Raw genomic sequence first — 27,732 nt, 5'->3', positions numbered from 1 at the left:
TTTATGTTTAAAATATAATGTTAATTTATTATTTCCAAGTAAAAAGAGGAATAGCCATTTTATTAGATTCACTTATTTTAAGCTTATATTCGTTTCATAGTCACATAAAATTCATTACTTGTAAGTGTAGCAATGAAGTTGTATTTTGATGCTGTTTGAAACAACTTGTTGTTGATATTGCAGTCCAGCTACAAGCTTGCTGATTTGAATATGTGTGGGAAAACAAAGCATTTAAATTACTCAAGAAATATGTTACAATCATATCAAAAGTATGAAAATAAAATATATGTTTTCTTCTAATGTTTTATCCACAGGTGTTGCCTTCCCAGATTAATATAGCCATTGTCTAAATGTTTCGTTTATTTTATTTTCATCTGAGGGCAGATTTTGAAAATCAGGTCTACTGATTGAAGCTGGAAGAACATGTAAATGTCTGCATTACTCATTATGTCAAAACAGAGCACATGATGGGTACAAAGTATACTCTTGCACATTTCACAGCTTTGTGATACAACTGTCTTGGAAATTGGGTGGAAATTTATGCACAAATGTGCATAAGTAAAGACCTTGTGACCATTGTTTCCTTCCTTGCAATCTTAAACTTTTTTGTACTTAAAAATCATCTTGCTAACATTTAGCATATTTGTGGATTAATAACAAACTAGTCTTTTGTATACCTACTTTGAGGGTAGGTGAGGAATAATGGGTTAAATACAATATAATATTATTTATTGGCTTAAATTATTTAAGTTATCTAGTTTTAGTACTTTGAACAGGGCAAACATTTTCCCCCTGTTTCTGTCTATTGTGAGAAATTGAATTACGTGGAAGAAATTTTTACTGTTAACCTTTTTTTCCCCACTGGATTTAAGTGTGGTTGTTGGGACAATTGTTGCCCAACAGAATGGTACAACGTAAAGAGAGAGACCTGTAGAGAGACTATGCCTCCCTGTTGCATTATATGACAGTATGAGTGAGGTGTTTCCTGATGCACATGGTGGAAGTCTGTGCCTCAGCAGGTTGAGACAGATGCTCAGGGTGACAGGATGGATAAAAACCGCCATTCAGGTAGCATGCTGGGTAGCATGGTGCATCTGGAATAATGGTGTTTGCCAGGAATTGTAGTCTCCAGCAATTAATTACTTTTATGTGTCAAATGTTTCAGTATCTGTGGTTTTTCTTTAATGAATTTCTTGCCCCTTTCTCTTTTTTCAATCAATACCTGAGAATCGTGGACTCCCATACTTACTGGTTCCAAAAATATACTTCTTCCATGTACTCCATAGGGTACTGAATAGATTCTGAGAAAATAGATGAATATAAGTAATTCTCTTTTCATTTAGATACATATGATATTCAGTGAAGATTTTGAATGCAATGTAATATTCACCATCAAATTTTGAGAAAGCACTGAAAATATGAGACATGTAAAATTATTTAATTTCCTCTTTTAAAAATTATCCTAGACATTAAATTCATGTTTAATGATAAAGATGTATTATTTGATGCTTTGAGACAATTACAATTAAATCTTATAAAAGGAATTCTAGGGTCAAGGTACAACTTTTATTTTTAATGCTAAACACTAAGTTAACTTCATTTTGTTCATGAGTTGCAGAAGTATTTTTGGAAAAGAAGTGCTTTAGTTTCAACAATTCAGACTCACTTTCTTTATGGGATCAGATTCCCTGATCACTTTTCAGCTCATCACTTCACTTTGCTTTTGTAGACATGGCTCCAGTAATTTCTATAATGTGTGACTGGTGTGAAAACACTTGAAATGGACACAAATCATTACACATACACACACACACATACACACACACACACGTATGAGTGTGTATGTGTAACACCAGAAAAGGAGCAAAATAGTATTTAATGACCAATCTCATGAATGTTATCTAGACATCAAATGTTAAAATTGATGGCTTCTTCACTTTAGGACTTATTTTATTTTTTGCTTTCTTCTACATTTTAAAATTCACTATGTACTTTTTGCAGTAGTTATTTGTCTAGTCTCTAAGGCTGGCTTATGTGAAAAAGTGCCAAAGAGTAGATGCTGTAACATTAAATCTTTCCTATTAATGAATATCTAAAAATTAGTAGAGTTTGTTTTTTTCTAATTTTACTACTATCAGGAGGTGTTGTGGAGGCTTCCCATAAAGTATTCAATGAAATATACGTAAATTTAGCAGTGTGCCTCTCATTAACCGTAACAGATGCTGTGTAGCTACCTCTCCTTACATAAGGCCTAATTTCACTTCCAATATTAACTTATGTATTAATTTATATGTTACTTATTTTATCATGGGGCAAAACTTTATATACTTGAGATAAAGACAAAAATGTACTGTTCTTCCTATTACCTTCTGTTTAATGAACTTATTGCTTTAAGGTTGCTTAATAATCCTTCAGGTACTGTTGTTTATGCATATAGTAGCTATGGAAACATACAAATTAGCCCAGTGCTCTTCTACAAAGATGGATTCAGTTTTCCTATCACCTTGCACATAAATAAATGCCAATACATAATCTTTTGTGTGTTTTCTTTGCCCGTGCTCAGAATATTACATGCCATTAATAAAAGAATAACAAATTGCATATTCAGCAAATGTTATAGCTCAGAACATGAAAGAAGGGGTTAATCATCACACTAAGAAAAATCAGCTGGTTAATTCATTGCACCATTCAAGGGAGTGACTGAAGTTATTCTCATAGCTTCGTGCTATAATGAAACTAGACTCATCAGTGCATTAGCAAACAAAGTTTGTATCAAAACTGTCCAATTTCCTTTTTCTTAGGCTTTTTCACATCTACTTCCTTTTATCATAACAAATATAAAAACTCTATTTGGCCCTTTGTTCTCTAAGTGGAACTTTACTTATTTTTTATACCTAGCAAAACTATCTAGCATCAAAATCAATACTACTATGGATGAGAAACAAAGTTGTTGCTTTCATAGGTGCTTCCTTCTAGCTTGGCTTGTATTTGTGCAATTGCACTTTATATGAATTTTTACTCTCCTGAACATTGTTTATATTTTTAATATATTTTTGTATGCTGCATACCATCTCTCCAGAACTACCCTATTACAGTGTTCTGTTTGCAAAAGCAGTATTTTATTTAGATGGGGTCACTGTAAATTATCTTCAGTCCCAGACCCTTCTGGACTGGAATCAACATCAAGGAAGGCCTCTTTATTGGTGAAAGTTGAGCTGAGGGTCATGCTCTGTCGTGGCTTCACAAGTGCAAGTTCATCTAATTTAATATTTTCATTTTTGACAAGAATTGTCTTATCCATGTTTTCTTCACTGTGTCTTGCAACAACAGCATCAAATACATCTAATTTAGGTGGCAAGGTTCCACTTTCAAATAGATACTTGGCTAGATAGGAGATGCAAATGTTGGTTAAGAATGATGTAACCATGGCAAGTGTTTTAAATGGAAATTTCTGATTATATATACCATTATCATCAGGGTAATAGCCAGGGTAGAAGATCAAGGGCTGAAGATACAGATATGGCTCCCCTCCAGTTATTCTCAGGAAGAGGCCAGAAACATAACCTGCCACGGCCCCATAGGTGTTGGTTCCCTTAACAAAGAGTACACAAAGCAGCTGGGGGAAGATAACGATGTAAACAAGGTCAGAACTGAGGTACCAGAGCCCATACACAGTTTTCGTCAGCAAGGCCATGGCTGTTGCAGATGCTCCAAACACAAACACTGTGATTCGCATAACCCAAACGATTTCTTTGTCCGAAGCCTGTAAGAAATTGCCACAGTGTCAGCTTTTTGCACAGTGTCTTGGCTCATTTAGGCAAAGAATGAGACATATTTTTTGCTTCAAAACTGGTCTAAAGAATTCTCCTGGTTCAAATGGCTCAATCTATGGGAAAAACCAACTACAGCTACAGCACCCAAAGCAAACAATCAAGGTGACTTCCTGGGTGGACCTTTGGGAGGGGTTTCTGTGTACCAGATGCATGACACACAGGCCACCTGAGCCTTTTCCTGAATGCACAGGGGCAAAGGCAGGATGAGCTAACATGGTGTCAGGGAGGTATAATAAAGCAAGGGAAGATTTCCTCACTTTACATATTAGGGAACAGTTCTTATGTGGCATTGACAGAGCATAGGCCATCCCTAGTTTATCTCTTTGTAGAAGTGCTACCATCCTTAAACTAACCACCTTCTGGTGCTCTTGAAAAGACACATGCACACATACGTTTATTGCAGCACTATTTACAATAACAAAGTCATGGAACCAACCCAAATGCCCATCAGTGATAGACTGGATAAAGAAAATGTGGCACATGTATACCATGGAATACTATGTGGCCATAAAAAGGAATAAGATCATTCCTTTGCAGAGACATGGATGAAGGTGGAAGCCATCATCCTCAGCAAACTAGCACAGGAACAGAAAACCAAACACCACATGGTCTCACTCATAAGTGGGAGTTGAACAATGAGAACACATGGATACAGGGAGGGAGCAACACACACTGGGACCTGTTGGGGGGCGTGGGGGGTGGTGCAAGGAAGGAACTTAGAGGACGGGTCAATAGGTGCAGCAAACCACCATGGCACACATACACTTATGTAACAAACCTGCACGTTCTGCACAAGTATCCCAGAACTTAAAGTAAAATTAAAAACAAAAAGAAAATGCCTTGTTCAAGGAGTTCCTTTGGTTAATTAAAAAAAATCAAATAAAATCAAAACAAAACAAAGCAAAAGCAAAAACACTGGGATTGTTTTGTTAACTAAAACCTAGAGAGAGGAAAAGCTTTAATCAACCAAGAAGCATGCTGTTTTGCAGCCACTTTGATTCAATAAAGAAAATCAAATTGAGAGGATATCTTCCTGCAAAGGTGGACTTTGGAGTGCAAGTATAAAACAGTTCAGAAGTTACAAAAATACGTGTCGAACAACTTACCATGCCCTGCTTCCACCAAGATTTTCCAGTGTCATAGAGAATTTAATTATACTAAAAGTTTTGCTGAATAGTTTAGGTTTCATTACTCTTTCATCAGAAAGACAAAAAGGTTAAATGATAGCCCTGTGACTGTACCTCTTGGGAAATAATTATATTGATTTGTTCCCTTTAGTATTGACATGAATAAGAACAGGTACTGATAGCATCCATTCAGCATAGGTATAATTTGTTATTTAATCTCGTATGCTTAAAGTACAGTCAGATTTAACATAGAATATTAATAAATATATAATACTGTATATACAACAAATACAACATCAGAAGCAGCAAGAGCAATGCTAGTAAATGTCAGGTTGAAAGAAACTGTTCTTACATTTTGTCTGAAGGAAAGCTGGTAGATGTTCCGTGCAAACATGGAACTTGCTGACAAGATGGAAGAATCTGCTGATGACATAACAGCAGCAGAAACTGCACCAAGACCAAAGAAAGAAATATACACAGGGCAGAGATACTGCAGAACAATTGGTAAAATCATGTCTGCCTCTTCTGTAGTCTTGGGATCTGGAAGCCCATATGCAGTCTGGTTCCAGTCTGTTGAACAGAATCAACAACCATTATAACCACCAAGGAACCAAATGTTCTTTATCCATCTGGGGTCATCCTATTTACTAGGTTGTTTTGAAATAAACTCAGAATCATATACATTAGTCTGGTGTGAAGTCCATGTGCTGGTCAAGTGGAAATGTCTTATATCTCTTGGCTTCTAAAAGGTATTGGTTATAGTTAGTGTTATTCACAATGCCTGCACAGACACTGGTGGTAAGATATATATTTCCTTTCTGCAATGATGGTGTTACATTGCCTAGAATCATAGAAAACAAACTCTCATAAACAGAATTCTAGAGTATTCCTTCAACCACTTGGAAATGTGGTGGGACACTCACTGTTTCTTCTTTAAGGCTCAGTTATTCATGTGTAAATGAAGAAAGACAATAGTAGGGCTATTCTCAGCCATCATCTCTCTGTACATAAACTTGGTTTTGAAGCTGCCTCAGCATTACTTTTCTCCTATTTCCACATTGCATAGAATTTCACTAGGTTAAGAACAGTCCCTTTTTATTGAATAAAAATTACAGTCATGTGGCTGAAATTTTCAGGAAGTTTTGGTTGTGGGTAGGGTAAGAAGACTTGAAACACAGATTTATCTTTGAATACATAGCTTCTTTACTGGTTAGTTGTAGCATGTGTTGAAGAACTATGGAATCCTTAAATGTTCATTAGCATAGTCGGCTTTTTATTTGCTGAACTTTTTTAATATCATGATCATTGGACCAAATAGGAATTGTTCTCTTTGGATCCTACCATTTTTTCTTCCCTCATTTTCTATTACAATTGTCACCAAAGCCTGCTTACATGCAGGCAACTTTGTGGCCTTAACTGAGATTTTATGATAACAGAAATAACAAACAAGAATGTGTATCTAATCCAAGAAAAAATAGGCTTAATGCTGTTTCTGTTAGCCTGTGTTCCTACAATAAACACACACACACAGACACACACACACACACACACACAGACACACACACGTCCATATATGTTTTCTGCTTGTGAGAGAAATACTATCTTTTTTTTTTTCAGAGACAAACACTACATACCACCTTCGTCAGTCATCTTTACATTTTTGAAGTGTCTGTCTCCTGGATGAACAACTGGAATGGAGAGTGTACACTATGAACCAGGACTGCTCTCCTAAAAGTTAAACAATCCAATAAAAGACTCTACTAATCGAAAGTCAAAGTTGCTGTAGGAACATCACCCTGGATCACCTTTACAGAATACCACAGGACAAAAGGTGAACTTTAATCTATTTTATTACCTCTACGTAGAAGATGCCTTTGAATTTGGATTAACATGATGTATTTTCATTAAGTGCTCTTAAAAGTTACAGCACCGGAACATAAAGGTCAGGAGTAATTAATACATTTAATTAAATTAAAGGTGAGCTTTTGAACATGTTCTACATAGAGGCTAACAGGGAGATAAACATTTCATAATGCTCTTTTTTCAAAACCATTTTTTAATAAGTTATTCTCTAAGTGACTTTGTTTGTTTGTCTTGACCTAAATGCTTATCCATCACTTTCTTCAAGAAAGAAAACCCCTAATTAAAAACTACTAAAGGTGTAAAGCAGAAATCTCAAGTTCAAAGTGATCTTTAGGGAGGTCATGAGGATGACAGGTAAACGTCTCTAAGCCTGTGACTCTCAACTCTGGCTCTCAACTCACCTAGGGGTTTTAAAAGAACACTAGTGCCCATCTCTATCTTCAGTTATTAAAATAAAATTCCTGTGAAGTAGGCCACATATCCGTATTTTTAAAAGATCTCCCCACCATTCCCCAGATGATGTCAGCATGCACCTTGGTTGAGATCCACTGCTGACAGGAGTGCATATAAACAATGGATAAATATACCAAAACTGGGAGGAGGGTGTGCTCACCAATGTTTCATAGTGGAGTGAGCAATCAAAAAAATTGGAGGCTGGGCGCAGTAGCTCACACCTATAATCCCAGCACTTTGGGAGACCGAGGCAGATGGATCACCTGAGGTCAGGAGTTTGAGACCAGCCTGACCAACATGATGAAACCCCGTCTCTACTAAAAAAAAAAAAAAAAAAAAAATGGAGGCCGCTGAACTATATAATACGATTTACTGAATGCTATAACAAATCTATAGATATGAATGTGGTGAGAAAGAATTCACTATGTGGAGGAAAGAGGGGAGTGGGACAGAAGGGTGTCTGGGTGGGGATTGGTAAACTAACTGGCACATGTGGTGAAGCTGCAAGAGATTTACCTGTTGATGCTCCAATGGCCCCAATGAGTATGGCTGGGATGGCCATCACCAGGCACCCGAAAGCTGCCAGGAAGGACAGCACTTGAGCATAGGTGGCTGAGGAAGAAGAGAGAACCCTCTGAAAGTATGCTTGCCATGGGATTCCACCCAGCATCTGTGCGGGAAACACAAGGATGGAGAGGCAAACATCTATTCATTTTTTTAAAGAGTTTTATTGCAATCACATTTAGAATAGGCCTAAGTACAACTTAGAAGTAGTAAAAAAAATGTGGCATGTAGCCACAAATATCAATTAGTATCATTATGTTTGCTATGATCTGATGTTTATGTTCCCCCTAAATTCATACATTGAAATTTTGATCCCCAAGGTGATGGTATTAGGTATCAAGTTGGCAACTTTGGGAGATGATTAGCCCATGAGGGTGGAGTCCTTATAAAAGGGAGTCAAAGGAGTTTTTTTCCTTCCACCATGTGAGGAGGCAGCAAGAAGGTGCCTTCTATGAGGATGCGAATCCTCACCAGGCAGTGAATCTGCCGGCACCTTGATCTTGGACTTCCCAGCGATGTGAAAAACTGTGAAAAATAAATCTGTGTTGTTTATAAGCCACTCCGTTTATGATGCTTTGTTACCCAACTGAACTAAGACAATGTATCATCAACTTTCAATTATGCAGAATTTCCTGAAGTTTTCTCTATAATTACATACAGCAATTATTTCTTTTCATTAATTTACCTATTTTGAACTGTATTTAAACTACCCCAGAGGCCTTCAATTTGTTATCATCTGGTGGTTCTAACCATCATAAAATATTCTCAGAAAATAATTAAGATTTTGAAAGTATGACATTTAACCTGAATCAATGCAACCCAAAAATATTTATACACTCCAATCATGTGCCAGGCAATGTAATGGCTGTAAGAGCAAAAACATGAATAAGGCATGGTCTTTCCCTGGAACTTACTTTCTACTATGAGAGTCAATGTATGTGGTGTTTTCCGCAGTGAGCATTGCAGAGTGCTCAAGGCAATACAGCCGGCATCAAATAATAAATACTAGAACTTCTATGTATATTAATTTTACGTTGTACCTAAATATTGTATGGTTGCTTTTATTAAATGATTTACATCATACGTTAGTACAGAATATATAAGCAACTGATAGATATACATACCTATATTGGAATGTGCTTAAATTTCTTATTGAGCATATACAATAAAAAACGTTTAAACTATAATGCAATTTGTTGCATGATATAAAGAGGTCTGTATGGGAATTAAAATGATAAACCATTAATTATTTGTGATGAGAAAAAGGTGGTAAGAAGAGAGAAAGGGTAGCTGCATGTTAACAGGAAAACCTGCAGAAATGAAGTGCAGATTGTCCATAGGCTTTGAGAGCATTTCCACAGGTGGAGATGGAGGGAGAAGAGAGTACCTGAGAGAGAAACTAATAGGAAAAAAGAAAATAATGACAGCGACCAGGCAGTTGAGACCACTGGGTATTTGGTATGATGAGAGGTGAGTGAGGGAGTGGTTGGAGGAGAAGCTGGAAGCATACTTTTGGCTAGATTACTGCTACTTCTCTTTCTGGCATAAAGTCAATATTCAATAAATATTGGTCACATGAATGAATGAATGAATTGATAAATGAGTTGCCATAGCACAATGTATTAAGGTTTCATTAACTGCCTGTCTCTCTCACTGGGCTCTGGGTTCTGGGGACGTCTGTCTTATCATGGTCTCACCTGGGCTAAGCAGAATGTCTGTAACATAGATACCATAACAATCTCCTTCTTATAAAAGCCATATATGTTCAAAAGTAATTAAAGGAAAAAATTCTAAAATTCATAACCCCATTCCTGAAGTCTATATTCTTCCAAAACCTTTTCCTTTCATTCTGTGACCTGTTTTATCAATATATCATTAACATCTTGCATGTCAATGACTTGAATGGATTGATACATCATAAATTACATATTCATCACCCTGGACATTTAGGTCATCAGAAGTTTTTAAGTAGGGTAAAGTCTGACTTCATCTACAAACAGAAGCTCTCATGATACAATGGACTGAATATTTGTCCTCCTAAAATTCATATGTTGAAACTCTAATCCCAACATGATACTATTCAGAGGTGGGGTCTTTGGGAAATAATCAGGTCATGAGGGTGGAGCCCTCATTATGGGATTAGGGCCCTTTTAAGAAGAGGTCAGAGACCTCTCTCACCCTCTTTCCACCATGTGAGGGCACAACGAGAAGTGTACAGTCTGCAACCTGGAATACTGCCATCTTTAGAACCTAATCATGCTGGTACCCTGGTCTGAGATTTCCAGCCTCCAGAATTATAAAAATTATATTCTGCTGTTTGTACATCACCCAGTCTATGGTAAATTGTAACAACAGCCCAAACTGACTAAAGTAGGTAGTAATATGGAAAGTGGGCATGGGAGAGTAAGAGGTGGGCAGGCTGCCATCAGAGAGATGAGTGGGGGTTATCAGAGTAGACCAGGTAAGGAATGCAGTCTACCTAATAGAGAGCAAACATGGGTACAGTGGGAAGGTTCCAAGTGTGACCAGGAGATACACTGACAGTATCACTAGCAGGACTTGACAAGTCATCTTCACATAGGGGATGTAGGAGAGACCACTGGAAGATCAAGACCATTGATGCAACATTTCAAGGCCAATTTCTATAGTTCATTCATTTATTCAACATGTACTACTTCATTTTAACTTGTCTTATAATTTGAATCATGAATATGACTAAGTCATATAATTTTTTAGAGCTGGAAGAAATTTAGCCATCACTTTACAAAATGTCTTATTTTAAAGATGAATAGTCTGAAGACTAAAGTGTGCTGTAGGGGAAAGGACTTTGAGGTCTTAATATTCTATATCAATCTCTAACTCAGACAATGATGTGATTATTGACAAATTGCTTAATTGTTCTAAGTCTCATCCTCTCTATGATGTAACCATAAGCACATCTACTATGCAGGTATAGTTACATATACATATTTACTCTTACTCCTTCAGTTCATGATTTTAAGCCATACCAGAAAAAAGAGAGCCAACAGATTTCTCAACAATCCTTAGGCAAAGAAGCCCTCCAGTCCACTACTGGAAACATATTTTTGCCATATTTTCCTGCCCTTTACTTGAAAAATTTTAACTGGAAAAGACACAGTCACTTTGAGTGTTGAGGTAATGCTAGAATTCAGCCATGTGCCACGATCACAAAGTCATACAATATTGCCAACCTTCTACAGAGAAAACAAAAATAACCAATTTCCCTTTAAGCTTAATAGAAAAAGTAATCTATTTCTTTTTTTAAGAAGATTTTTTTTTATAGAGATGGGGTCCTGCTATGTTGTCCAGGCTGTTCTCAAACTCCTGGCCTCAAAGTGAGGCTTCCACCTCAGACTGGCAAAGGGCTGAGATTACCAGGGTGAGCCACCACACTCTGCCATAATTGATTTCTTACGTTGAAATCAAATACAGTGTGTTATTTTCAGGCCTAACTCCTCTAATTAGCACAGTCGTAAAATCTGGTCAGTTCTTCTGGTTGTTCCCTCTTGCCTCAATGGGATCGGCCATTATCTCTTCCATGTCCTCCTCAAAGTGCCTGCACCTTTGCCCCAAAGTTCTGCCTGTTTTCAAGCTTCCTCTGGCTCCTGAGGGCCTCTCTCTTGGCATCTTTCCTGAGTGACATGTCCCTTTCCAACCTGCCTCACTTAGGGCCTCTAGCACTACTAATTCACTTACTCTGTAATTCAAGAGTGAATGAGAGACTTATTTCATAAGTTGGGTTTCATGCCTTAATTCAAAACACAAAATAAAGCCTTTACAAGGTTTTGCCTTCAGGTTGGGGAAAGTCCTGGGGGTAGGGCATGTTATTCCTTGACTTACATCACAACGGAAATGAGGACCCACCACCCAGAACACCTTATGCTGTCCCCTCAGGGCCTCATTTGTTCTCCACCCTGACACTGCCAGCCACGATAGTCCGGCCCTGGCTCCACCCTCCCGATAGAGAGTCCTCAATTCAGAAATGGCCATGAGCCCACAAGCACATTTTTTTACTATGAATATGAAAATCGTGAAAACAAATTTGATTTCAGGAACAATTAAATCACATTCTTCAGGTAAGAGCATTACTTACCAACAACAGAAAACTATCAAGCCAAGAGTAGACTTCAGATGAGTCAACAGTTCCCAGCCACGGCTTTTGGTATTTGGCATGCACAGCAGTGAACCCGATGTCTGCGACTGCAGGATGTGACAATGCAAAGGGGACGCTGATCCACTGCAACAGAAAGTGACACTGGAGCCCTAGGCGATGGTTTTCAACTGTCTGATATATGCAAGATTTGTACACCTCACACACTGCACAGCTCAGTAGTTCCTCTAGTTCAGACAGAGAAGGATCGGAAATCATGTTCTCTGTTTTTTGTTGGGCACCATAAAATACTGATTTAGATGAATTAAAATAACACATTGACTATTTCTTTTCTTTTTTTTTTTTTTTTTGAGACGGAGTCTCGCTCTGTCGCCCAGGCTGGAGTGCAGTGGCGGGATCTCGGCTCACTGCAAGCTCCGCCTCCCGGGTTCACGCCATTCTCCTGCCTCAGCCTCCCAAGTAGCTGGGACTACAGGCGCCCGCCACTACGCCCGGCTAATTTTTTGTATTTTTAGTAGAGACGGGGTTTCACCGTTATAGCCGGGATGGTCTCGATCTCCTGACCTCGTGATCCGCCCGCCTCGGCCTCCCAAAGTGCTGGGATTACAGGCGTGAGCCACCGCGCCCGGCCACATTGACTATTTCTATGCTTGATTATACCATGTCATACAAACTATAGCAGCAGCAACATAAAACCTCTAGGAAGAAAATATTATATTTGAAATATCTGTCAATCTATCTATGTATCTATCTGCCTACCTATCTATCATCTATCTATCTCTGACTGTCTATCTACACACACACACACACACATACATAAATAGATACGTAGCTATTGAGATATATATCCCCTTGTGTGTGGGTGGGGGGAGGAGGGGAGGGATGTGGATTGTTTTTGTTTTCCTCTTCTGTTAAATGTTGGATAACACAAACTTGAGTTCTAATAAAGAATTGTATTTCTCAGCTGCTTGGGAGGCTGAGGCAGGAGAATTGCTTGAACCTTGGAGGCAGAGGTTGCAGTGAGCCGAGACTGGACATTGCATACCAACCTGGGCAACAGAGCAAGACTCCATCTCAAAAAAAAAAAAAAAAAAAAAGAATTGTATTAAAAAATAAATAAATAAATGGTGCCGAGCACTGTGGCTCAGGCCTGTAATCCCAGGACTTTGGGAGGCCTAACTGGGTGGATTGCTTGTGCTCGGGAGTTCTAGACCAGACTGGGCAACTTGGTGAAACCCCATCTCTACCAAAAATACAAAAATCAGCCAGATGTGGTGGTGCACACCCGTAGTCCCAGCTACTCAGGAGGCTGAGGTGGGAGGATTGCTTAAACCTGAGAGGCAGAGGCAGCAGTAAGTGGTAATTGAGCCACTGCACTCCAGCCTGGCTGACAGAGCCAGATCCTGTCGCAAAAGAAAAAGAAACTGCCAGGCACAGTGGCTCATGCCTATAATCGTAGCACTTTGGGTAGCCACTGTTAGAGGATTGCTTGAGTCCAGGAGTTCAATATCAGCCTGGGAAATACAGTGAGACCTGGTCTCTACAAATAATAATAATAAACAAAATAAAATAAAAATTTTTTAAAAATTATATTTGAAATATATATCCATATAAAAGTGTGTGTAGGCACACACACTTTTATGTTTTCTGTGAATTAGGGAAAGATATCCATTCCTTAAGGGAAAGATATCCATTCATTAAAGTAATAAGAAAATATGTGATTGAGAAATACATGGGTGACATATAAGCCTTCAAAGATGGGCCCAATACTAACAGGTAGAAGAATAAAGAATTGAAGGAAGAGATGTTTAGATGGAGCAAGTCAAAGAGGAGAAGAATAAATGGGGTGTGTGTGTGTGCGTGTACACTCGCACCCACATCTGTTGGTGACAGGCTTTGCTGGCAAGGGAGTAGCTTGGGGAAATGGGAGAGATAAAGATGGATGTGTGGAGAAAACTCAAATTGCAAGCTAAAGGATTTGTATTTTGTTTTTGCAGGCAACTGGAAGCTAGAAAAAATTCTTTTAAGTCTTAAAAAGTTTTCAGTGGAATTTATTCTGAAATTTAATAACATAGACATGAATGGTGAGTTTAGTGAAAAGGAAGAGTCAGGGAAAGTGGTAGGTGATTTCAATTCCACCTAGATGAAGGCTGAAGTAAAGCAGTGACACTGGGAATGAAAAAATATCGGTACTAAAAAGGATTATGAAGAGTGAGCCAACAACCCTTACAAGAAGGAGAGAGAGGTCAGAGAGAGGGAAAATGAAAAGAAAAACCTCAAGTTTACAGTTTTGGAGCTCCAGGGGTGATGATAAAATCAATGACATTAGAGAATTTGAGAAAAGAAGGTGGTCTAAGGGGTAAGTTGATTAATTATGTATGCTCACACAGCAATTAAAGTTTGGAAAACAACATTATTTAGTCTTTTATTCAACCAATTCAATAGGGCCTTCTCTAGTAACCAACAGAACTCCATTCCTTATCAATTTGGCTACATTTTGTGGCAGGAAAAATATTCTAACATATTTGCACTGTCATCTTTACACTTGCATACTTGATTTATGCACCCGTGGGTTTTAAGTTCTAGTCTCATACAAAGCAATGAGAAATCACATATATCATCAATAACAGGTTCATTCCCTGGGGTTGTGTTTCTTGGAATACCTAGTGCATCAGTTATGAGAGCTGTCATTGCCAAACCAACCTGGCTCCTGACATTCTGAAGAGGGATTTATTTCTATGTTCCCTATTTTATTTCTGGAAGTTTATGTTGATGCTAAGGAAAAATCAGAATTTCAGCACGGTCCACTTAATTTTGGTAATTTAAATACAAAATAGTGGGAGTCCTTGAGCAAATTAAATATTCTCATATTCAGTTACAATATGAATGGACGAAATTCCATGAAATGCAAATAAAATGTCTAAGGAGAAAAGAGAAAATACTATAATCTTTGCTAGCGTATGTAAATTTATAGTTAAACTGCACATCTAATTGTAGTCTGTTTTTTACAATTTTTCCTCTAGGATATTATTAGAGATGATGGAAAGTTTATAAAAAGGAGAGAAGGGCATGAGATTACTTCTTCATTTTTAATTTCTAAGTGTCTAGTGTCAAAAGTAAAATATAATGAAATGCTTTAAATTGTAAGATAAATAAATAAAGATGAGGAGAATCAAGAGTACTTAACCATCCTTGGGAAAATGAATCATGATCTCTAGTGTTAGGTTGCTCAGTCTGTGGCCTTTGCAGGAGGGCATTGCCCCTAAAGAATCTACAACTGGGATAATATATGTGTATGGTGAGATAATGTACATGAACCTATGATGACCCTAGCCCAGCATGGACACACCAGTTTTTATTCTTCTTTTGATACATCTTAGGTATTGAATATTATATGCATAACTGTACTCTTCACATTTCTTCAACATTGACTAAAATATGTTCAGACACACAAAAGTGCTTTTAATATAGTGCTAATAATACTAATAATACTCATGTCTCATAATTATAATAAAAACAATAGATAATAAATCTTTCTGGTGCCTTATATAATTAAGAATTTTCTTTGTTTTTAGACCACAAATAGTGATGATTAATATTTGAAATCCACAGTTTTCCAATGGGATCATTTCTATGTCTTATGAGCATTCTTAGGATTCACCAACTAACGTAAAGGGAGACTTGTACAAGTTACCACTAAGGTTTGAATTTTGTTATCTCTGCCGAGGGAAATGGATTGCCTTAAATACTAAAAGGAGATCATGCATAAGTTTCCATCAAATCTAGGCATTAAGGAAAGCAAGACCTAGACCTTTCTAACAGTCCAATGGAGAGCACACTTTTCTGTCAAATTTTATCAAAATGACGAGTTTTTCATCTAATTAATTTATGGAGAAATTTGAAATTTCATGTATGTGACTTAGTATGTATTACTCATGAGGGAAAATAATATTTCTACTCATTTTTAATGAGTTAGTATAAAATACATTACCTTTTACAGAAAAAAAGGAGGAGAATCTTGGGTGCTCCCACTTACCAGCCCTACAAAAATGCAAAAGAGCTGAACGACATCAGTGTAGGCCACAGAATAGAGCCCTCCCACCAGTGTGTACAGAGTGGCAATGAGTGCAGAGATGATGACAGAAATGTGCATATCCACATCGATGATCACGCTGATGGTGGCTCCTGAAACAAACAAGAGAGTTCTGTGGTCAAGGTGCCCAGACAGATTCTGCTCTTTGTATAAGGACATAATGAAAGTTCAGTGATAAACAACATTTTTCTCTCTGTCATATGAAATGCAGTGGATGAAAACACCTAAAGTTAATTTTTATATTGAAATTTGTATATCTTAATAAATTCAGTGAGATACATACTTTTTCTTTCTGAAATTACTGGTTTGCTAACTTATTTATTTGGAGGACACACAGATCCATGGTATGGTTATAGAAGACCCTGAATTACTGAGAAATTTAATTACATTACAAGAACTCAAAATAATTTCACTATCTGGAACTCTGACTCAATCAAATACAGCCATGTGTTGCTTACCAATAGGGATGTGCTCTGAGAAATGTGTTGTTAGGTGATTTCACTGTTGTGCAACTTCACAGTATGTACTCACTCACAAATCTTGATGGTGTAACCTACTACACACCTAGGCTACATGGTATGGCCTATTGCTCCTGGGCTACAAATTCGTGCAGATTGTTACCGTACTAAACACTGTAGGCAAGTGTAACATGATGGTAACTATTTGAATATCTACACATCATATCTAAACAGAGAAAGTAACAGTAAAAATATGCTATTATAATCTTATGGGACCACTGTCATATATGCAGTCCATCATTGACCAAAACGTCATTACATTACCAAACGTCATTAGTCACATCTATGAAAAACACAAGGCTTTCTGAGAAACATGATCACCCATTTCCACATTTTACAATTGACATTCATTTGCCATTTTGCATTTACTCTGCCCCCTACTAGGCTTTGATAGCTAACAAATGGTTAAGGCAGCAAAGAATTGAGAAAAATTTGTAGGAACAAATTATCAAATTGGTAAATGTTATTAATCAATTTCTCCCTCTTTAATTTGCGACAGATCACTCTTCTTTTATTTAATTGGTAGAACATACCAGTCCTGCTCCTAGGATACCAGTATACTGAAGAGCCTAAGATTTGAATATCATATTTTTAAGTAATTTTCATCATCAACATTTTAAACTTCTCTTAGAAATCAAATTTATGTTTCTCTTTATAACATTGTTTATTGTGTTTGTTGGTCCCTATATTTCCACTGAACATATTGAGGTATGACCAGTTTGGGCCGCTGTGGTTCTTGGACTGACAGTTCATAATTCACTTGTTGCTTTAGTAGCCTTTTCCCTATTGTTCTCAAAACTATACAGTTTACATGTCACATTATTAAATGCATACATGTAATGGATCTGTGATTTTATGTATCATCAGTTGCAGCCAGCTGAGTTGTCTTACACCCTACCCCCATTCCTCAATTGGCATGCTAGTAGTATATGCAACCCACTGGAGATGAAACTACATTATCTCAATATAAGATGTGTTGATCCAAAATATCAGTAAGAAATATTTTTCAGTGTTTTGCTATGGTGATAAAATAGAATTATTTTCCAGAGTAAAGATCCCTTGAAAAGAAAAATCTAGTAAGAAGTTGGAGAATGAAGACAAGGATGAGAGATAATTATAGATGAGTGACTTCAGATAACTGACTGAGTTATTGTTTTATAGATATTTGAAAAGTTATTTTTTCCTGAGATCATTTACTTCGAATCGAAACTTTACTTCCAACACTTTGTCGTTCTTTTTTTTTGTGTGTAGTTCTCCACTTTAATAACGCTTCTAAGCTATATACCATGAATTATGAAAAGTTCAATTATAAAATAAAGATTAGCTGACTAAAATCTCAAAGATTTGGGGTCCTAGTAGATGCTGTCACTTAACTGTAACTCAGAGATATTAGAGACGTCAATCACTTCTCCATTATCACTATTAAAATTGAGATAAAATTTTCTCTAAAATATTTTCTGAAAAATTAAATCAATTGTAAGTAAAACAAAGTGATACTTTGAGGTATACCAGGAAATATTAGTCTACTCATGAAGCTATAAAATAAGTATCCTGCAAAGTTATGAAAATCCACTGAACTTGAGCTGTTAGAAGTGTAAATACACATTTCTTCAAAATGTTGTAGGATGTCAATTTCTACCAAGAAGATAGTTTAAGATTCTCCTATGTTTCAATGGTGAACTATACACATTCACAGAAAGGTGGTAATAGATCTTATATATTCTTGAATATATCAAATTATTTGTAATAAACACTAAATTTTAATTAAATCCAACTATTACTTTTTATTTGTGTAAATTTAAAGATTACAGGTGCAATGATGTTACCTGGGTATACTGCATAGTGGTGAAGTTTAGACTTTCAGTGCTTTCATTACCCAAATAATGTACATAGTACCCAGTAAGTAACTTCACACACACACACACACACACACACACACACTCTCTCTCTCTCTCTCTCTCTCTCTCCCAAAGAGTTCAAGCAATAGCAGCAATGTTTTTATATATGTTGTTTGATATATGTGAGTGTTTAGAAAGATACAGACAATAACATATTTTACATATGTAGTCATGGATTAGGTAATAATGTTACCATCAATGATGAACCACAAATACATAAATTCTCATAAAATCATAATGAAGCTGAAAAAGTCCTATTGCTTAGTGACATTATAGCTATTGTATTACAATTGCCTATAGTATTCAGTGCAGTAACATGTTGCACAGGTTTGTAGCCTAAGAGCAATAGACTATACTGTATAGCCTGTGTGTGTAGTAGGCGCTACCAACTCGGTTTGTGTAAGTACACTCTATGTTCACACAACATCAAAATTGCCTGCTGATGCATCTCTCAGAATGCATCTACATCCTTAAGCTGACTGTATATTGTAATACAGGCACAAACACAGACACACATATATACAAAACTAATTATAACAAAGTTCACAGTTTCGTTACTATATTTTATATTTCCAAAATACTTTAGAAGCATTTGCTTATTAATTCTATTCTTTCTTCAGGGCTCTGTTATATAAGTTGATCTTTACTCAATGAGTGAACATTTTGTATTTTGTTATATACTCAGCCCACTCCTTTTTTGATACCTCAGCAGGTAATTTGTTCTTAAAATTAACATTTTTTGGTGTTCAAAGCAATGGCAAACAAGCGCCCAATGCAACTCAGCTAATGAGAGTCAGGTGGAAAGGGAGGTGTAGTTTTACACATAATATCATTAGAACATAAGAGCAGCAGTGGATGTGGAGTATTATTATCCAGCACCAGAGAAGTGCAGCATTTTCCACCTAGTTGTTTCTTTTTTTTTCTTTTTGAGACAGAGTCTCACTCTGTCGCCCAGGCTGGAGTGCAGTGGCGTGATCTCAGCTCACTGTAAGCTCTGCCTCCCGGGTTCACGCCATTCTCCTGCCTCAGCTTCCTGAGTAGCTGCTGGGACTACAGGCGCCCGCCACCACGCCTGGCTAATTTTTTGTATTTTTAGTAGAGATGGGGTTTCACTATGTTGGCCAGGATGGTCTCGATCTCATGACCTCGTGATCCGCCCTCCTTGGCCTCCCAAAGTGCTGGGATTACAGGCGTGAGCCACCGCGCCCGGCCCCCCACCTAGTTCTTGCTGTATTTTATAACGATCAAATACTCTTGTTTCGGCAACAGTCACTCTTTTTTATAGTTGGCAATCAAAAAAATCCTGACTAACCTGCGGGATGAAATTGGATGTGCTGAAGGCGGGGCAGTGCACACCTTTATGGGGAGCTTCCATCTCCCAGCTGCCTCAACAGCCTCAGTCAGGTCCAACAGTCTCAACTGGTCCCATGTGGTACACATCTAAGCCTGTGTCTCTAAGGGTAGATTGGAGTCGAGGAGACGCTAAGGCATGGGCAAGCTTTCTCATGTAAGTTATTGAGAAGACATTTAAACTGAAGGGGAAATTCTTGTTATATTCTACCATACTTAAATTTTTCCACTACTAAACCGTAACATTGAACTTTATAATATCAATTTATGGAAATATTTCAAGTTTGTAGTTTTGCTGTGTGACTTACATTACTTACCTATTCTGTCAGCAGAGGGTTGGTGATATCTCACTTCTTTAGGAATGTTATTTACTGCTGGAACTGACTCTGTTTTATATATGTTTTTAATTAAACATTTTATTTAAAAAGTCAACATCTCTGAAAATATCAGTGCTTTTAGAATAACATGCAACACTGTTGTCTCAGGAGTTTAGGTAGTTTTATATCTGTGTTTATGCCAATTAACATGGCAGTTATTAGAGGGAAAACAATGGGAGGTAAAAAGTTCTCAGTTTGCAGGAAGAACACTTATTGGAAGAAATTAAGATATAAATCATTTATTTAAATTTATTCAACACCAAAAATATGTATTAGTATTCTCACTAACCCCTGGTTCATGAATCCTTGTTTTAAACATTTATGTTAAGTAAACTGCACTTTTTAGCTATGCTTAATTCATTATTCTTTGTTCAAAATCATATATGACTCATAAAAGCAAATTGATCATTATAATTCATAGTTATTGGTCTAATGAGGCAATTCAAGTATGGAAAGTGTAGCTGAGGTTTTATTTAACCTCTGCCACCATATTGCAAGTAAACGTAGAATTTCCATTAAGCTTTTATGCATATAAATATGGTTCAGCATATGGTTTTAATAAAAATGTCCTCAGAAGCCAAGGCTGAGGAAAGTAAGGTTGTGTATCTGATGTTTAGTTAACTACAAAGATGCAGCTAGACAACTTAGCTGGTCCTTACCCAAAGCAGAGAAAATTGCTGCAGCCCAGAACATTTCTCCCATCAGTGCAGGAATAAACAGGAGTCCGCCCATGCGTTTTCCATAGATTTGCTGAAACGGGTCTAACATGGTCACATACCCCTTTGAACGCATAGGTTTTGCAAAGAACAGGCCACCTAAAAATTAAGCAACTGTTTAGGAGAAAATAAAAAGAATGTAATATAATAGTCTTTTACTATGCTGCCATTTATCAAGGAAAATGCATTTTCCAGAACACCTGTATGGATTGAGGAACAAGTCTGCACACAGTACCAACCTACTATAAATATTAGGTTTAGCAATCTAATATAATTTATTTAGTACACTTACCATTGTATGTGTCCAAAGGATAAGTGGATCATGTTGAGGTATGTGAATTGAAAAACATGAACCAGCACATTGCTCACTTAAATGCCTCAATGCATTTCTATCTCTCAACATAGCATTTAGAGGTTTTGAATAAGCACAGATTCAATAAAAGCCTTTTGAGTGCCCCAAAAATGAGGTACCTTCTGTTATATAATACTTTTGACCTCTTATTCATTTGACTTGCTAAAAGAAACACAGGTACATTTCAAGTTGATTCATTTTTAATGATATATCCATACTTGTTTTGAAAGAAATAAAACATGATTATGTTAAGAAATTCACTGTGCTGACAGCCACAGGTCCAGAGGATTTTAAATATATTCCTAACCAAGAGATCAAATAATTTAAGCATTAGTGTTCTGCTACTTACCAGTTTCTGGTAATGACTCCTTAAAGATCTCTGGGGACATTTTTTTACAATGGTTATTCAGAGTGTTTGACTTGTTATTCCACTTGTTATTTATACTCTTGTTCTGTATACTTTACTGAGTGAGTCACTGAGATTTGCACTTTCACTTACCTAAAATCAGACTAAGAGAATATCCAATTGGTGCCTGAGCCCAAGCTAGGCCATAACCTGGTACATAAACTGCTTCAGCTGTGCCATTGATATACCCTCCTCCGACCCAGGTAGCTGAAACAGAATGAAAAGTGAGGGAGTGATACTGTCTTACCTGTTATACCTACATCTGCCTGCCAAACCAGTGGCTACTAGAAGTTACTGAGCACCTGAAATGTGACGAGCCTAGATTGAGTTGTTTTAGGAATATAAAATAAACACCAGATTTCAAATGTTTTTTCTTTCATTAATCACATGTTGAAATGAAAACATGTTGAATGAATTGAGTTACATAAGTTATACTATTAACATTAATTTACCTATTTCTTTTTGTTTTTAGAGGTTTGTAGAAAATGTAACATTATGTTTGTGGCTCATATTATATTTCTATTGGATAGTGCTGCCCTAGATGTTTTCTAAATGCATTGAGTCAGCAGCATTTTCATGATATTATATGTAATATAGTCTGAGGTCAAGGGGTAAATTTTCTTTATTTCAAGGCCCTTCCATTTTACTTGTATTGATGTTTTTATACTGTCCTCACGGAGTGGTGTGCATGTGTACGTACATGTGTGTACACATGCATCTATGTAGGTGAGTGTATGTTTGTAGAAATGTACTTTTCACTAATAGAGTCTTTTCTTGAACACTCTGGGGATATCAGAGCTTGCAAATCTTATCTCCATCACCACTAAGTTGTACTTACTACCTTAAGTTATTAGGAGTGAAGAGAGGATCGAGATGACACTTCTACTACAAGGTGTCCAAAGTGAGTTTAAATGTTACCTTAAGGCCTAGACTACCTAGCACTCAGAAGAAGGTAAAATGTGAACTGCATACATACTTGCAATTCTATATTTTAATATGGATCTTTTAGTAAGATATTTACTATTTGACAAGAAGTAATGAAAAATGTCTTATTCAGATAAATAAAATTTATGTAGCACAATAGCTGAGGCAAGGAGGTCAAAGAACCAAAGAAAATGAGTTTTGACTTAACAGGTTTGAGCCAAGAATGATCTACAGATTAATATTTTTCTCTGAATAGACAATGTAATGCTAGCACCATTTTCTCTGAGGAAACAGTATAATATTGAATCCTTGCTGAAAAACTAATGTTGAAGAGGACACTAAATCTTTGCAGTTTACACCTTGTTGAGGTTACAGTACAGTCAAAATATTCTAAGCAATCCTTATACAGAATTTGTGTAAAGTTATGATGGTCACAGGTTGGTAATAAAAATTTATCAGATATGAGGCTGAATTCTGGATTGCATCATCCCATTAGGAATAAAATTTAACTCTGATGAATTTTCCAAAATCTCACAGTTAGAATGTAAGTAAATGAAATAATATCTATACAAAACTACCTAGGATGTGTTTCTATTGTGTTTATGGCAAAATTTATCTGGCTTTTAATCTAATACAAAGCAAAGAAGAGGGAGTCTTAGGGTTGACATAAAAAGATTTTCCTACATAGGAATTTTGAGTACATTTAAATGAAAAGTTTATATACAAAATCCTGGAGACAAATACGTATTTAGCAATCACTCCCACCTTTGCTGTAGCTTTTACCCTCAGTGTTAACAAATAACAAAAATAACAAATGGCATTATTTGTTTTCTTATTCTAAGCCCTGCTGAAATTTTTAAAATGGCTTTTTTTTTTCACTGTGTGTGTAACCATGAGCTGAAGAAATGAATTCTTACAGGCAGAAAACTTGAGACTTTATCTTTCTACCAGGCAACTGGAATTGCTAACACGTCAATGTTTTACTGCATAAAGTAAATGGTCTGATGGTCTTACAAGCACAAAGCTCATTAGTGATCATTCGTCATTGTGTAAGTCTACTGTCCCTTGTCCAAAAAGAAAATTGGTGACTGAATCATTGCAACTATTGTGATATAGAAGTGAGGGCTTGGCTACTTACTAAGATTTAAAAGTCCCCTTTATAATTGAATTTAGTCTCTTCTATAACAGTATTTGCTCTCCTTGTTTGTATATTTTGTGTCAGATCCATGAGTGAGAACACAACCTCTTAAAATATATTCATTTTTAAAAGAATCAACATTTTTTATCTCTATTCTTTATAAAATATATCCAAGTCAATCAATCTGACAAGGTTAGGTAGTATGGTTCAGATTTTAAATGAATTATGATATTGACCAAGGTTATTTTGAGTTCTGAGAAAGAAAAAAAAGTTTTACGAACTGAGGAAGATCATGGCCCTTTATAAAAAATAGCATGATTCAAATATTTTCCGTACCTTTTAATAGCTTGTTAGGTTGAAAAAAACCATTCTAAATGGTAAAAACAAAATATAAAATATTATTTTTATGACCATATTAAACAGAATATTAAATGAGAATAGTAGAGGGCTATAATTATTTTCAATAAACAACATATTTTGATATGCAGCAGCTTTCTTATTCTTTCTGCAGTGTTTACAAACTGTGCACCTTTTGAAAGAAATAAAGTGAAACTAGTTACAGGGCTGCATGTGGCACAGCATGGGGCGGTCACCAGCATGACGCAGTACTTGCATTTTGGAACTAAGTTACCGGAGACCTGTGTTTGGTTCTGGCTCCAGCCCTGGTCCTTGTTAACCTTGTAACCCGGGATCTCCACTTAACCCCAGATGCTCATCATAATGCCGTTATAAAGACCAAATGAGTCCACGTACAGTAGATGAAGAGTTAAACAAAGATAAAATGTCAATGTCTGAAAGATAAAACTGATGGCTCACATAGAACACTGTAAGTTTCAGATTGCCAAAGTCAAGGGGTTCAGAACATGAATGGCCTCTCCCCAGACTGGTTTGGTAAACTATCTGATATACACGGTGAATCATTTTAAAATTGCCCTTCGGGACTGAAATTGGGCATCACTTGATATCATTTCCCATGGGATATTTTTCCAATGAACGCTCACAGTTCTTGCTATGTTGCAAATGTTTAAAAACTCTACTAAGACTGTATAATGAAATATGTGTTGTTAGTGCAACTGTATTAAATATTAAACATATAATTCTAAGTTGATGTTTTTCAGAATTATTTTCAACGACCAAGAAGAATATAAAAAAGAAACAAATCACCCTTTAAACAGAACCACTTTAGTGCAAAGTAAGAAAGAATATCAGCTCCTGCTAACACAAAGAAGGTTTGAATGAGAGATGACTGCAGATGGTGGCCTGGGGATTCCTATGAGGACACACCCTAGCTTTTCCCTTTTATAACAAGGTTCATGAAATCTCTTTATTAGTGCTGTGGACTCATAACATGTGATTGTCTTCCTGTGAGGAATTAGTTATTAAATGAAAGAATTAGGTTTCAAAACAGGGAATCACTCAATTGGGAATATCATCACCCCCAAATTTATTTATGCAGATTAAAAACCATCACTAGATGGTATTCATTGGCACTTATTTAAATCTCAAAGTCACAACTTTATGCATGTATTACCGGACACGTTGAGATGCTGCCTATCACATTAATTAGCAGATACATAGCTTGTAATACTAGGACAGCTTCCCATTCCCCCACCTCTTTGTTTTTACTCTGTTTCCACCCACTCAATAGCCCAGGGAGCCAAGATTTGTTTCATGACTGTTCAGTCCAGTGATTTATTATAAAATCATTTTTGTTCAAGTACTACTGAGTTGAAACCAATTTATTTTTAGGTTTTAAATCAATAGAAAATTATTTTAAAATATATATAACTAGTGAACATAAAGAATCCCCAAAGGACAAAGACCAACATTTGCTTTGTCACTCTGAAGCCACACGCTGCACACTCACAGATGCCAAGGAAGGGAGGACTGCATGGAGCCGGCGGCGTCTGAACGTACCTGTCATGGTAAATCCACCAACCAATAAACCAATATCTCGGCCACCAACTATGATGGCTTCGCTGCGCTCTTCTGCGCTGCCACTGTTTTTGGTTCTCCAGGCAGCCCATATTCCAACCAGCAAAATTAGAAGGTAGAACACGATGATAGCTATCAGTCCTTCCACATGGAAAGCCATTTTTATCTAATGATCCAGATTCTTCTGCAGCTGGCTACTTCATTAAGTCTTCTGAAGAAAATACAGGGATGCATTATAAACCAGTCAAGCACTATGCACATGTAGGCAGCCAGGAATAAACCAGCTGGCTCATGCGAGATCCTGTGCCACTCACAGAAAGAGTACAACCCTGAAACCACACGTGAAACGGGCAGTTAACAATAAGTGTCCACTACATTATCCTACTTCTATTTAACAATTTAACATTATTTTGAGTTTGCAAGAAACAGAAAAAAAAACGGAAATGTAGTTTAACAAATGGAATCATAATCCTTGTGTGTTTCATACATGCTTTAAATTTAAAATTAACCTTGTCGTGTATATCTTAACTCAGTAACTGTCAAATCATTTACAAAGAGTAGCGCTGTATCTGCGTTTTGGAACTAAGTTACTCTTCTAGAATTATTTATTCTAGAAGTGTTAAGTGTTTCATAAATGACCATTCTGAAAATTTTAAAATATTCATTAATTTATTCATTCTTTTATCTGTCCTTTCAAACAACTTCAGAGAATGGCTTCAGTAGTAATCTGATATAAAAATATCTGAAAAAAATCTTTAGAAAAATCCATTTCAAAAACACATCAAACTCCACATTTTCAACAAGCTTCTGTAGTTCAAGTTACTATAGCAACTAAGTATGTTTTTTGTTGTTGAAAGGATCCATTCTCTTGATCTTCTTCGCCCAATATCCTTCATTCAATTCATCACCCCCCATTAATGGTACATACAGGAAAAGGTTTTGTTGTTGTTGTTGCTGTTGTTTTAAACACAATTGCCTAAAAGCACATCAGAAGCCTCAAAGATATTAAAATCAAGACTCTTAGAAGACAGATGTCAAGTTCGAAAGCATTCACCTTCTGAAATTCTTGTCCCCTTTTATTTTTATTTTTATTTATTTTTTACCTTTGTGACCACAGCTGTTCCATGAACCCAAACTCTCACATACAAGTTTCTGGGGGAAACTCTGACATTTGTGCGTGCAGGTGGGTGAAGAGACGTTGGGGGAAAGAATCAGCCTCTCTGGAATTTAAAGGAGGCAAAAGAAGCGCCCGCGGGCTGTGTCTTCTCTGCCTTTGTGAGCAACCAAGCAGGCAAGTTCCTCTCCGCAGCAGCCCGATGCTCTCCCGGCCCCCTGCGGCCTTTCCTCGGCCCCCTCTACCCATTTCCTGCGCCCAGACTTTGTAGCCTCTTGCACCCTGACAGCAACGGTGCCAGACAGCAAACCCGCCCTCGCATCCCACCGAGAGGGAAAAACGCCGCGTCCCTCCCCTCTAAAACCGCCCGGGCTCGGTGCCCAAGGCGTTTCCGAGGGTGCGGGCCCGTAGGCGCAGGAATGCCCGCTCCGCTCCTACCTGGAGTGGTGGCTGCACGCGAAAGCGCTCCGCCCGGGGCCGCCGCCCCCTGGAACCGCGAGGGGTGTGGGTGCGAGGGTGCAGAAAGGGAGGGTGCGGGGTGGGTCGGGGTGCAGTGCGGAGCGGGGCCGGGCGGTCAGGGCGGCTCCTCACTCGGCGTCTCCAAGAACCTGGGAGCGCGCAGAGTTGACAGGTGTTGGCGCCGGCGGAGGGCGCGCGGCGCAGGGCGAGGTGGGAATCGATCGAGTATTGGGAAAAGTCCCCTTTATAAGGGCGGCAGGCGGGGGCGATCGTCAGACATCCGGAGGCGGACGTCAGAGGAGAGTGGTGCTAGGGCGTGTGCTAGGGACGCTGCCCTCGCGAGGAGGGTGGGTGTGCGGGATGCGAAGGAAACGGGGCCCAAGGAGCTGGGGGGCAGGCTGGGCTCTGGTCCGCGCTGCCAGCCATGGTATCCCCATCCTGAGACAAGTACCTGCTACTCCCATCTCCTCCTCCAGAAAA

At 37.5% G+C, this 27,732-nt stretch overlaps 1 protein-coding gene across 8 annotated transcripts; it reads right to left on the bottom strand.

Moving 5' to 3' along the window:
- SLC5A7 (solute carrier family 5 member 7) lies at positions 1 to 27,471 on the bottom strand. Of its 8 annotated transcripts, none has more exons than XM_047445369.1 (9): positions 27,232 to 27,471; positions 25,662 to 26,008; positions 21,776 to 21,889; positions 20,868 to 21,023; positions 16,009 to 16,157; positions 11,955 to 12,098; positions 7,793 to 7,946; positions 5,313 to 5,530; positions 1 to 3,763 (listed from the first exon to the last, which is right to left on the bottom strand). In XM_047445369.1, the coding sequence occupies exons 2-9, from the start codon at positions 25,837 to 25,839 to the stop codon at positions 3,134 to 3,136; spliced, it is 1,743 nt and encodes a 580-aa protein (XP_047301325.1). In that variant the 5' UTR covers positions 25,840 to 26,008; positions 27,232 to 27,471; the 3' UTR covers positions 1 to 3,133. The 8 variants fall into 8 exon arrangements, with proteins under 8 accessions (XP_047301325.1, NP_068587.1, NP_001291936.1 ...); NM_021815.5 differs by having other exon boundaries at positions 25,662 to 25,890; NM_001305007.3 differs by having other exon boundaries at positions 11,955 to 12,061; positions 25,662 to 25,890.

This window comes from Homo sapiens, chromosome 2 (genome assembly GCF_000001405.40).
Source record: "Homo sapiens chromosome 2, GRCh38.p14 Primary Assembly".
In the NCBI taxonomy this organism is placed as follows: Eukaryota; Metazoa; Chordata; class Mammalia; order Primates; family Hominidae; genus Homo; species Homo sapiens.
Note: the sequence above shows the minus strand (reverse complement) of the source record. Positions and strands in the feature narration are given on the sequence as shown.

Coding starts and splice junctions, on each gene's coding strand:
- SLC5A7 (XM_047445369.1), bottom strand. CDS start 25,839: ATGGCTTTCCATGTGGAAGGACTGATAGCTATCATCGTGTTCTACCTT. Junction 5,531..7,792: donor GGCCATTGGAGCATCAACAG/GTAAATCTCTTG, acceptor TCTGTTCAACAG/ACTGGAACCAGACTGCATAT. Junction 3,764..5,312: donor AGCTTTCCTTCAGACAAAAT/GTAAGAACAGTT, acceptor AATTTCTTACAG/GCTTCGGACAAAGAAATCGT.